Raw genomic sequence first — 13174 nt, 5'->3', positions numbered from 1 at the left:
AGGTTTTAGAATGTCTGTCAGCAGTGGACATGATCTTAGAGTGGGCTGTGCAGATAGACCTTTCCGGGTCATGTAATTGGATTAAGTTAATTGCAATTAACTTACATGTAACTGATTAGGTTAGGGTACGTTCCACGTCAGGTGACCAGAGGCAGTATAAAAGGCAGCCTGGAAAGCAGAGGTCCCTCTCTGCCCCTTCCTCCGTCGTCCTGGATGCTGCATCGCTTCCAGCCGGGCTGCTGCAGCACCTGCCCATCTCAGCGCCAGCCGGGGAAAGAAAGTAGACGTGTAATTTCAGGTTAGTTTCACTGTACAGTTGTTTTTTTCACGCAGTCCCTGAGGGGTGGGTGGGAAGAGACAAAGGACGCCGAGAGAAACCGATCACACTGGGCCTTGCTGATGGGGTAGGATGTGTTCTCGTTACTAGTAATTCTTGGAACAGAAAACGAGAAAGCATTTCCGTCTCCACGTGTGGGAGAAGACCAAGATGGGAATGTGAAAAGAAATGTACTGCAGCATGCTGAATTGGTGGGTAAATGGAAAAAGGACTTTGGAAAAAAGGGTGGTTTGCCCTTCAGCGGTGTAAGACGTCGATACGATATGGCACTTATTCACCGTTTGTTTAGATGAATTCGTGTGGCACGTGTAAAATACCAGAAAAATAAATAAAGAGGGGCTGGAGCTAAAGCCAAAAAGATAGAACAGGAAAGACCATCACCTGCTAGTGTGGTAGAGAGGAAGATAACTTCTCTCTATGAATTTGTGTTTGGAAGTCGCCTAATGAAATGGCAAGAGTAGCGATTCAAGTTGTGACAGGAAGCATCCCTTATCCCAGATTTCAAACAGACCTGCCAAAGGGTGACAAATGCCATGCCCTGTGGCTTCGATCATTCTGTCCGTCAAGGGAGATAGAATCATCGTGTCTTCTACCGGAGTGAATCGTAATAGACCTAAGTCCAGTCTCCAGAATCAGTTGTTAGTTTGGAGTTGAAAGCTCAACTCCCCATACCTAGGCCACAGGCCCTGTGGCAGGCGAAGTTTACTCTTGGACTAGGTAATCATGGCAGAGGAACACACAATATCTGAGGATGCGCACAGCACATTGTGTTCCACAGATTTGACCGACTGGTGGTGAGGTCTCCTCATGACCACACCGGCAAGGAGTTAGCGGGGGGCTTCCTGTGGGTGTGTGAATATCCAACGTGCTTAACCATCCACATGTGTGTGTTTGTGTGTGTTTCAGGTGGCCCAACAGTCAACCCCTGAAAAAGGCGGTCACAAAACCCCCAGGAGACGAAGATGACGGCACGTCGTGACCCCAAACCTGGGGCAAAGAGACTGGTGAGAGCCCAGACCCTCCAGAAGCAGCGGAGGGCCCCAGTTGGGCCAAGGGCTCCCCCGCCCGATGAAGAAAATCCCAGGGTAAGTCTAGCCCTGGATCTCTTGGGTATCGGGGTGGGGGTGGGGACGGGGGGAGGGGCTGTCACACGGTCCTCAGAGACTGGGTTGGATTCCAAAGAGTTCTGTCACCACCACCCAGGTTGCTTTTCCCATCCAAGGTGGGCGTGGCTTGGGACCTCCTCCGCGGCCCGATAGGCCCCTTGAGAGACTCTTGGGGGCAACCTCCCTTTCTGTTTAGAGTCCTGTGTAGCCACGTTTGGCTGTGCTGTTGACATCGGGTTCACCATCGTGCCCCTTAGAACCTTGAGTCCTGCCTTTTAGAGTTCCTCTGTCACATGGGCTTTGGGAGGGAACATCGCATCCGAACTCTCCCAGCACTTAATGGCCCCCATGCTGGTGTCCCCTCTTTGGAATCCTTATTCAGCTCTGAATTCACAATCCGTCCCAATGTTGACGTGGGATCGCTGCCTGTGGCTTCAGCTCACTCACTGACATCACTTCCTTTCCACCCACAGCTCAAGTACAAAAACTGCAGGGCCCTTGGCCACACGGTCAGAAGTACCAGGTGCCCCATGAAGTGCTGGAAGGCAGCCCTGGTTCCACCGACCTTGGGGAAAAAGGAAGGGAAGGAAAACCTGAAACCATGGAAGCCCCAGGTTGAAGCCAACCCGGGGCCCTTGAACAAGGATAAGGGAGAGAAGGAAGAGAGACCAAGGTGAGCAGTGGGAGGGGTTTTCACCACTCTTAGGGTACTGCCTCCTAAGGACATGGTGTCTCTGCACCTGCACACCGTGTGCCTTTCCGTCTCCGGGCCAGGGAAGGAACGCTGCAGAGAAATAGGCCGGAGCTCCGTGTCCTCCGGGGTTCCACACCCAGGAGTTCCTTTGGCTCTGGGAGATTCAGGGACGGGGAGAGGCGGGGGTGCTTCGTGCAGATTCCCCACGACAGGGGGAAAAGCGATGGAATCCAAATCACAGTCCTTAGTTAGGAAGCCTAGAGGGCCACCTGGAGGATGGGAAGGTTGGCACGTGAGGGAAGGTGCAGAGGCGGAAAGGGCACCAGATGTCCATTTCTGTATCACAAAACACGGAATGGGACTGAGCCCCAGACAGGGTTCTCCCTGTCTCCTGGGGAAAACGAGGGGCCATGGCCTGACCTTTTTCTGTTCTGCAGGCAACAAGACCCGCAGAGAAAGGCTCTCCTCCACATATTTTCCGGGAAACCTCCAGAGAAGCTGCTGCCAAATCGAAAAGGATCCACGGAATCTTCTGTTTTTCTGAGGGTGAGTGTCACCCTGGGCCCCTGGTCTTTTTGTCCTCTAGGTCACCCTGGTTGATTTCCTTTCAGCTTCCCGTCTGCGGGAGGGAATCGGGGAACCCCTCTTTCTTGCCTTCTTGGGGTCAGGGACTTCACGATCCTTCCAGGTCAATTTGATTCCAGGCGAAGGCATCTGAAGATGCCGTATTTCCTGTTGCTTTCTTTCTGTCCAATTATGGCAAGCCTGCCAACAACATGTTCCTAGCGGCATGAGGAAATTTGTCCCTCAGAGGCCCCAAACATGGAGAAGGCTAAACTCTGGAACATGCATGTGTTCAGAGAAGACGTCCTGAGTACCCTTGAGCCACCAACCTGCCTTCGGAAGGGCATTAGTCTGTTCCACTTCATGGAAGGCTGAGTGGAGGCGCTTTGATCCAGTTAATGCCCAAGACGCGATCTTTTGAACAATGGTGTGCTTAGATCAGCTACACATAGCTCGAGAGCGCATCGTTCATGTGTCTTGTCCTGATCAGCACTCAGGTGGAGGGTCTGTCTCTACTTCCAAGGACCGCCTGTCGATACTGTACTAAGAATTTCATGGCGTGTGCACCTTGTCTTTGGATGTGCTTGATTTTCACGTTGGCTCCATGCTGAGGAACTTCTAACCTGTGTTGTTTCCTCTCTTTCAGGTTGCAAGCCGGCCAATGCCGGTCCACACAACAAGTAAGAGGCCGTGCGTGGACCCTGAACTCGCTGATCGCTCAGCTACCGAAATGTCTGGCAGAGGCTCCGTCTTGGCTTCACTGTCTCCCCTCAGAAAAGCCAGTCTGAGATCCTCCTCAAGTCTTGGACCAAAGGAAAGACAGACAGGTGCTGCGGCCGACATCCCTCAGCCTGCAGTCAGGCACCAGGGCCCCGAGCCTCTCCTCGTGGTGAAGCCGACACACAGCAGCCGTGAGGGTGGCTGCCGAGAAGTTCCCCAGGCTGCCTCCAAAACCCACGGCCTGCTCCAGGCCGTCAGACCCCAGGCACAAGACAAACGTCCTGCGGTGACCTGACAGCCCGGCCCACCAGCCGCCACACACAGCTTGGGCCTAGGCTCCAATCTCAGCTTCAGACCAGGAGCCAAGAGACCTGCCCAGGCTCCGATTCAGGGTTGCCTGAACTTCCCCAAGAAACCGAGACTGGGTCCCTTCCAGATCCCCGAAAGCGCCATCCAGGGAGGTGAGCTGGGGGCCCTGGAGAATCTCCAACCTCCGCCAGCAGCAACCGAACTTGGACCAAGTACGTCGCCCCAGATGGGCAGGAGGACACCCGCCCAGGTGCCCGGCGTCGACCGGCAGCCTCCGCACAGCAGACCTTGCCTGCCCACTGCCCAGGCCTGCACCATGTCCCATCACCCAGCGGCCAGCCATGATGGGGCCCAGCCTCTCAGAGTGCTCTTCCGGAGACTAGAAAACAGACGCTGGAGCTCCAGCCTCCTGGCGGCCCCCTCATTTCACTCTCCTGAGAAGCTGGGAGTCTTCCTCGCTCAGAGCCCTCATGTGTCAGAGAAGTCTGAGGCTCCCTGTGTTCGTGTCCCACCGAACGTCCTCTATGAAGACCTTCAGGTTTCCTCCTCCTCAGAGGACAGCGATTCTGACCTGCAGTGAGACTGCAGGTGGCAGGGGCTCCTTGGCCTCCAGCTCCCGTGACTTGGAGGGGACTGTGGGACTGAGGAGCGCAGAGCAGAGAGCAGACTCTGTGCGGTGACTCCGAAGCTCCCCGGCTGTGGCGCTTCTGTGGATGTGGGAGCCCAGGCCAGGCAGGGAGCAGATGCAGGGACTCTGCCTCATTGAATTCTGGTGAGGGACGTTGTAGTTCGCGTGGTTCTCCGGAAACGCGCCAGGAAAAGCTTCCGTGCCAGAGATTCGTTGCCTCAGAAACTGCGTGACGCGCAGGAGTCAGACTTCCGCTGGGACGTCAATAGGAAACTGGGGAATTACTGTGTATTTGCTCTCTAGATGACTGAATAAGGGAAAAGTTAGGGAACCCTGAGAGGTGCAGCCCTTCCGCTGTGCCCCGCCCTGAGAGCAGTGTTTCGGACGCTGGGAAGCGTGCTGTGCGAAGCGCTCTCGGGGTCTTTCCTCAGCCTCGAAAACTGGGCTCTGGAATGCCTTTGTAAACAGGTGTGTTGAATTTGTTTTGAAGTGAATAAAATTCTCAAAAAGATGATGTATTGTCTTTTGACTCTCATTCCGTGTTTGTGTGTAACTGATTTTCCAAGTGAAGGGGTGGCCGGCCCCTCCACACCTGTGGGTGTTTCTAGTCGGGTGGGATGAGAGACGGAGAAGAGAAATAAGACACAGAGACAAAGTATAGGGGAACAACAGTGGGTCCAGGGGACCGGCACTCAGCACACCAAGGACCTGCACCGGCCTCTGAGTTCCCTCAGTTTTTATTGATTATGATTTTCATTATTTCAGCAAAAAGGAATATACTAGGAGAGCAGGGTGATAATAAGGAGGTCAACAAAAAACATGTGAGCAAAAGAATCTATATCATAATTAAGTTCAAGGGAAGGTACTATGCCTGGACGTGCACGTAGGCCAGATTTATGTCTCTCTCCACCCAAACATCTCAGCGGAGTAAAGAATAACAAGGCAGCATTACTGCCAACATGTCTCGCCTCCCGCCACAGGGCAGCTTTTCTCCTAGCTCAGAGTTGAACAAATGTACGATCGGGTTTTACACCGAGACATTCAGTTCCCAGGGGCAAGCAGGAGACAGTGGCCTTCCTCCATGTCAACTGCAAGAGGCTTTCCTCTTTGACTAATACACCTCAGCACAGACGCTTTACGGGTGTCAGGCTGGGGGACAGTCAGGTCTTTCTCATCCCACGAGGCCATATTTCAGACTATCGCATGGGGAGAAACTTTGGACAATACCCTGCTTTCAAGGGCAGAGGTCCCTGCGGCTTTCCACGGTGCATTGTGTCCCTGGTTTATTGAGACTAGAGAATGGCAATGACTTTTACAAAGTATACTGCTTGTAAACATTTGGTTAACAAGGCACGTCCTGCACAGCCCTAGATCCCTTAAACCTTGATTTTATACAACATAGGTTTTTGTGTGCTCCAAGTTGGGTCAAAGCGGCTGGGGCAAAGTGGCTGGGGCAAAGCTACAAATGAACAACATCTCAGCAAAGCAATTGTTTAAAGTACAGGTCCTTTTCAAAATAGAGTCTCTTATGTCTTCCCTTTCGACATAGACACAGTGACAGTCTGATCTCTCTTTCTTTTCCCTACATCCAAGGACTTGAACATTTCTTGACTTGTTAGCAATCCAAATCGTTATGTCTCCGAAACAGAGTTGACTGAGGGGACCGCAGGGCTGGGCAGGACCTTTGACTTCCTATACATCCACAGGAGCAAGAAAACCTCAGCCCCGCTCTACCAACACGCACCTAGTAAAATTCCGCCAATTGAATCTCACGCACGCTAACACGTGGGGAGCGTTGCTTGCACCACGAGTCCCCATTTGGCTCAACCGCCGATGCCAAGTGTGTGGTTCCGGTTGCGACGGCTCCCCGTGAAGTGGCTTCCGGATGTGCGAATGAACCAGGCAGAGTTTCGCTGGCCAAGTAGACCCCAGCAAAGCTGAAGTTAACTCCCACATTTGGGATGTACTTCAGAGGTGAAACATTCATCCCTCTTCTTTCCGGATGTCTGACACCGGGCCTTTCCATGGTTCTCCCCCTGATCCTAAGAGTAGCTGAGGTAGAGACTCACTGAAAGATCTAGGCAGGGATATCCCATCATGCACAGGCTCTCTCCATTCTCTGACCTGGGAACAACTCTCAGCAGGATTGCATACCTAGGCGGCCTCGGAACTCAGCGGGATTTGCTGAGACACACCAAATGGCTGCTCCCTTTCCGCCGCTTTTGAGGGTCGTTATCTTGATTATCCAGATCACCTACAAAGTATCCGTATCCAGAATCAATAAGATCAACTCTCTGCTCCTCTGACAGCAGAAGGAGCAGGACCACAAGGAACCAAAGAGGGTGGAAGGAAACGATGTGACCGGAAAGCTCGGAAAACGGCCACAGGGGGTCGTCAGCAGGCCTTCCAACCTGAATCATGAATAATTAATGAAGCACAAATCAAAGGGGACTCGAGTTTCAGCAGATGCAATTCATCCAACGGGAGATCGCCGGAGGGCCAACAAGATTGAGAGACTGGGAGTCGGGTGCAGTGTCAAAGGGGACGCGACTGGTTCCAAAGCTCAAGAAGACCATGGGGTCACTTGGGCTACATGAGAAAATGCCCCAGTGTGCTGGTTCATCATTCCGACTCCTGCCTGTCTCTTCCCGTCCAAGGAACATGGACCCTAAGTCGTGCAGGTGCAGATGACCATGGGCAGAATTAGGGGACATGTCACAAAAGTTGAGGGACACGGGAGTTCCACAGAAGGTCCGGTTAATCTTCGCAAATCCAGAGACATGACAATGGGACCCAGGGAATTAGAGCCTCACAGGCGTCCAGGAGACTTTTCAGGCATAATGCCTGGAGTCGCAAGACGAGCTGAAAAGGGAGCCAGGTACTGAAGGACAAAGCGGTGTTGGCTTTCTTCATCTGTGTTTCCCAGTGCAGTCCAATTCACTGTGGTAGAATTCATGTATTTATTTTCCGTCGGCTTGTAGTTGCAAACTTTTGATGTTATTGATTTTTGGTTGGAGAGTTTTGGTTTGAAAAACTAGATATTCTGAAGATGGAGGTTGTCCAAGATTGTATCTCAAGGTGAGTCTACTTGATGCCAGCGAAGCATACTTTGACATATAATGCATATGTTTGAATTATATTTTGTCTTTTTTACCATATTTTAAAAAATCACTTCGTGAAAAATGTCAGAGTTAGATACACCAATGTTAAATTTCTCATCACATGTCCAGAGGCAGTGTAAAATGCAGTCTAGAAGGCAAAATTCCCAGCCACTTCTATGTGGAACTTTCTGCAGAGTGGGATTGTATCCAGCGTTTTCAGGGGGCGCAGGTGTGGTAATAGCTGGTCCTTGGCTTCCTGCTGAAGTTGGAATCCTGCAGATTGCTTAGGGGCGGTTTCAGCCTGTCCCTTCTTTCCAGGTCATCACTAACCTTTCCTGAGCCCCCATGGGGACTCAGAACTTATCTAGAGTCACAGGCCGGCCTGGGATGCTGCCCTTGAGCCTTTGTGCTGTCCATGATGGTTCCATGCCACTGATCTGCTGGGACACATTCTGCAGAAGGATGGGCTGGCAGGAGCTGTCCCTGCCTTTCTGAAAATCACAGAGATTTCTGCTGTCAGAAGCCACAGAGAAATATCTTTGGAGTCTCAGGTAGGCCAGGGATGCCATTCACAGGCTCCTGTTCTTCCTCTTAATGGTAGCAAGAGTGATTTCTGAGTTTCCTAATTGACTTCGAAATAATTTTGTTGATTTCGTTGTGACAAAGACCACTCATCTTTCTGTGGCATCCAGTTCACCTGTAGTGTTTTTTGGGATTATGTGGAAACTCTTGCATTTTTCCAGAGCCTCACTTCATCCGGGATGTTCTCAGGAATGCACGAGCTGATCCCTGCCTTGGTGGCATCTTGGAACATTGAGGGAGGCCCCTTAGGTCCAGAAGGCACTAGGAGGTCCATCAGGAATTGAGAGGGCATGTGTCTGCCCATCTGTAGCTGGAACTTCTATTTGTCTTCAGAATGCAGATTCTTCCTGAACTAATAAATTATCTTCATCTTGGTGTAAGTAGCTACAATATAATAATTCACAGTAACTCTATTAATAAAAATAACTGAATATCAACAATGAAGATAATAATGACAATGTTAATTGTTATAATATTAATAGCAAAAATAAAAGAAAGTCATTAGGGATTGGAGATTCCCTTAAGTGAAGGACAATGTACAGATATAGGGACACTTGAGTTGTTTGGACTCAGAGTCAAATGAAACGTGTTCCTCAAAGGCAAAGGACATGCAGCATAAGGAAAACACAACGTTCATGGATGACCACATGGGGTACCTTGGAACTCATGTGGAAAGACTGCAGGCAAAGTGTACCTGGTACAGGGACCACCCACCAGCCAGCACCCACCCACCTTCATGAGGTAGGACAGCAAGATAATGGGGAAGGGGTCCATGCAAGGGATGCAAGGCTCGTGTCACACCTGATTCAAAGAAGCACTGCTTCTGACAGATGTTTATCTCCTAACACTGTGTCACCTCTAACTGCCTGGCTGCAAGTCTGCCAACTGTTCTTCTTAGGTCACAGGAGGGACAGACATTACTGTCCACCTATCTGCATACAGAGCCATTGGAGGCCATTACCCTTGTTGCTTCCTCTTTGGAAAGGGGCAACATACCTGGCAGATGCCATTCTCTGTCTCTTTGGAAAGCTTTGTCAGCACATTTAAGGTTTTCTTCAGCCACAGAAAGCCACCTGCTTCAAAGTCTCATCCTCCACAAGTGGCAAGCACACAATCATTAATGGAGGCAAGGGGTACATAGGCTTTGCCATTTGATTCAGTTGGGACAAATAGGGGAGGACTTCTTAGCTCTACAGCTCTGTCCGTGTGGCCAGGTGACAATGTCAGGCTGCACTGCCATTAGACTTGTCCCTTTGCACATAAGGCTTCCCTCCAATCCTTTCCACAGATGTGGATCCTCACATCACTTCCTAATAAACATCCTGCACACTAAACTTTATCTATATCCAGTTCCCTGGGAACCAAACCTGTGACAAAAGTGAAAAGTTTCTAGGGAAAATAGGGTTTCCTTATCAGACAGGAATCAAATTCTGCTGAGCTAGAAAATAAAGTAAAGTCTGACGCCATCTCGTGATATTTTTTTATTAGGACATTACCACTGCCAGCAAGAATTATGTGCATCAATTTGTGGGGACAAACATCATACTGGAGTGGAATGAGGTTGTTGTGAGTTGAGGAGAAATGCTGATGAATGGACTTTACCCTCAACTTGGATTCAGGAGAGGACATAAAAACAGCTGGAAATAAAAGGTGTCCGAAAACATTTTTCTGGTTTTTCAATTTCAGGTTGGGAGACACTCTATGTTTAAATTCTAAAGAGATGTAGCATACTGAGAAGAAATAACTGTAGACAAATTGTCCATTTTATGAATAATACAATTTATGGTATGACAGGAGACCAAGGGACATAACACAAATTTGGAGTTAAAGAAATTAACAGACATTCTCTATAATTCCTCCGCTATTATGGCAGAGATGCTGGAACAATGGATGTCCATGTAGCGTACTTTTTTTTTTTTTTTTGGCGGTGGGGGACGGAATCTCACTCTGTAACCAGGCTGTGCTGCAATGGCGCAATCTCAGCTCACTGCAACCTCTGCCTCCCGGGTTCAAGCAATCCTCCTGCCTCGGCCTCCTGAGTAGCTGGGACGACAGGCACACACTACCACACTCAGCTAATTTTTGTATTTTTAGTACAGATGGGGTTTCACCATGTTGGCTAGGATGGTCTCAGTTTCCTGATACCGTGATCCACCTGCTTTGGCCTCCCAAAGGGTTGGGATTACTGGTGTGAGCCACCATGCCTGGCCCTTGTAGCAGTACTTTTGAACTTATTGGCTGAAAGCATCCACCTGCAAACTTACGTATTATATCTGCAAAAGAGTACAAACCATGTGATGAATTTTAAAGGGAAGACAAGCCTGTGGGAATTCAACAGCCATGGCAATGTTTTGAACTTCTTTTTATTAAACATGTAAGAAGTAAGTGAAGTTCAAGACCTAATAGAATTGCCAGGAATTATCTGAGGAATTACCAAGATGACCATAGACACTATGAAATCCTTACGATGCCCTCTGCTGGAGTTTCCTCCTACAGCCAGTGATTTTAAGCCAGAAGCAAATGTATCTGCAGGCACAAGAATTCAACCCAAATGTGCTATTCAATTTTAAATGAGATGACAATGAAATTATGTGCTATATAGCAACAACTTTTTTTTTTCTTTCAGACAGAGTCTTTCTCTGTTGCCTAGGCTGGAGTGCAGTGGGGCACTCTTGGCTCACTGCAATCTCTGCCTCCTGTGTTCAAGTGATTTTCCCACCTTTTTCACAATGTATCCTTATCCTCAAACTCATCCTCCTAAGTAGCTGAGATTATAGGCCTGTGCCACCATGTCTGGCTGATTTTTGTATCAGCAAAATTATTTCTGGGGTGGAGAGTTAGGAATCTTTTTCTCCCACACCCATAACATGTTCTCCAAATGATCTGTCATGAAGAAGGTTCTCTTAATTTTCAACACAAGTTATGGGCTAGGCACTGTGCTAGGTGCTACAGATACGCACTAATATACCCACAATAGTTTTGCCTTATTGCCTTCTATGTTCTAATAATGCACCAAAAGAAAAGTATAGATTAGCTTTTTATTTTTTTGAGATGGAGGTTAATTCTGTCACCCAGGATGGAATGCAGAGGTGGGATCTTGGCTCACTGCATCTTCTGCCTCCTGGGTTCAAGTGATTCTCCTGCCTCAGCCTCCTGAGTAGCTGGGATTACAGGCACGTGCCACCACACCCAGAAAATTTTTGTATTTTTCAGGAAGACAGCTTTCATCATGTTAGTCAGGCAGGTCTCAAACCCCTGGCCTCAAGTGATCCACCTATCTTGGCCTTCCAAACTGCTGGGATTACAGTCATGAGCCATAGTGCCCAGCCAAAGAGAGTAGCTTTAAATAGAAAATATGAAACTAAAAGAAATGTATGCTCATCAGTTTTATACTGTATTTGGCCAGGTGCAGAATATCGACATGTAGTAATGTAAGGGAATAAGGTCAATTCACATCTAATTGTTTGGAGAAGTCACCAGAAATCAAAAGTTGGAGGAGTTGTATCTTTTGAGGTGGGTTGCACAGGCAAGCAGCAAGTTGCTATCTCTCCAAAGTCCTAAACTGTTCTATTTGTCCTACTGTGGAAAAATGAGTCTTCAACTTGATTTCAATTTATATAGGAAAATGCTCAATAAAACTAATAAGGGCTACATTCCAGGACACAGCCAGACCACCATATACTGAACCTTGATTCTAGAGACACCTCCTGTTCAATGTAATTGGATTTTCAAGACAACAAATATATAACCCTGACACAATATTGGAGAGCCAAAAGGAAAGGACATTTTGGGTTGAAATTTTTTCTTTTAAAAATGTGTCCTTGAGTTCTATTAACAATAGCTGAAGCCTGGGAACAGCTCAAATGTCTATTGAGAGGAAATTGATAAATTATATGCATATTATGGAGTAATATTTATCAATAAATGGGAATAATCAACTCTATGAATCGACATCATGATCATGGATCAATATAATCTTTCTAACCCCGAGTGGGGAAAGCTAAGCTAAAAAGTGTCCTATAATATAAATAAATGTATACAAAATTCTAGAACAGACAAACCTAATATAAGCTAAAAAAGTTCAGAAAAGCCAGGTGCACTGGGTCATGCCTGTTATGTCAGCACTTTGTGAGGTGGGTGGATCGCATGAACTCAGGAATTCAAGACCAGCCTGGCCAACATGCTGAAGCTACCCCATCTTTACCAAAAATATAAAAATTAGCCCAGTGTGGTGTGGTACGCAGGAGCAGAAAACCAAATATTACATATTCTCATGTATAAGTGAGAGCTAAACATTGGGTTATACACTGTTCAGCTCTCACTTATATGGAAACAACAGACACTGGAGATTCTTAGAGGGAGGAGGGAGGGTTGGGTGCAAGGCCTGAAAAACTACCTATTGGGTATTATGTTCACTACATGTGTGATGAGATCATTCATACTGTAAACCTCAGCAGCACACAATACATCCATGTAACAAACCTGCACATGTATCCTCTGTGTCTAAAATAAAAATTAAAAACATAAAAATGAACAAAGATATATGAGCAAGCATTTGTCGAAAAAGGAGATACAAATGGACAACATATATATAAACAATTCTTACCCTCTCTAGTCATCACGGGAATGCAAATGAAAACAACCAAGAAATATCACCTCACACCTGTTAGAATAGCTATTATCAAAAAGATGGATGATAACAAGTGTTGGTAAGGATGTGGAGAAAAGGGAACCTTTGTATACTGGTGGTGGGAATGTAAATTAGTATGGCCACCTTGGAAAACAGTATGGAGGTTTCTCAAAAATTAACAATAAAAATACCATTTTGTTCCAGCAATCCCACTTATTTTATATATAATATATATATCATATATATAAATATATATATATGAAGTCATTGAAATCAGTATGTGAAAGAGATATCTGCGCTCCTATGTTCCTTTCAACACTGTTCACAATAGTCAAGATCTATGAAGAAGACATACATGTTATCATTCATTCATGAATGGCTGAATTAATGTTATACATATATATATATATATATGCACAATGGAATATTATTCAGTATTATATAATAATGAAACCCTGTCATTTGTGACAACATTGATGCATCTGAAGGGCATGAAGTCATGT

The 13174-nt window shown here is 47.4% G+C and overlaps 1 long non-coding RNA gene and 1 pseudogene across 2 annotated transcripts in view, besides 1 other annotated feature; one reads left to right on the top strand and one right to left on the bottom strand.

Annotated features, from left to right (window-relative positions):
- Window positions 1358-4869, top strand: FAM90A25P (family with sequence similarity 90 member A25, pseudogene; annotated as a pseudogene). The gene is made up of 4 exons (NR_073395.1): window positions 1358-1422; window positions 1917-2116; window positions 2575-2683; window positions 3348-4869. The product of NR_073395.1 is annotated as a family with sequence similarity 90 member A25, pseudogene (transcript).
- Window positions 6205-6725: an enhancer, noted in NCBI's record as "H3K4me1 hESC enhancer chr8:12270174-12270694 (GRCh37/hg19 assembly coordinates)". NCBI's record gives its function as "activates a minimal SCP1, AML or CMV promoter by ChIP-STARR-seq in primed H9 embryonic stem cells {active_cell/tissue: H9 hESC(primed)}" and the evidence as "EXISTENCE:reporter gene assay evidence [ECO:0000049][PMID:30033119]".
- The window catches only part of FAM66A (family with sequence similarity 66 member A), a 48983-nt gene continuing 44197 nt past the window's right edge, over window positions 8389-13174 (bottom strand). Inside the window, exon 5 of the long non-coding RNA NR_026789.1 lies at window positions 8389-8425. This is a non-coding gene — a long non-coding RNA (family with sequence similarity 66 member A). The remainder of the gene's footprint in view (window positions 8426-13174) is intronic.

Source organism: Homo sapiens, chromosome 8 (assembly GCF_000001405.40).
Source record: "Homo sapiens chromosome 8, GRCh38.p14 Primary Assembly".
Classification (NCBI taxonomy): domain Eukaryota; kingdom Metazoa; phylum Chordata; class Mammalia; order Primates; family Hominidae; genus Homo; species Homo sapiens.
Note: the sequence above shows the minus strand (reverse complement) of the source record. Positions and strands in the feature narration are given on the sequence as shown.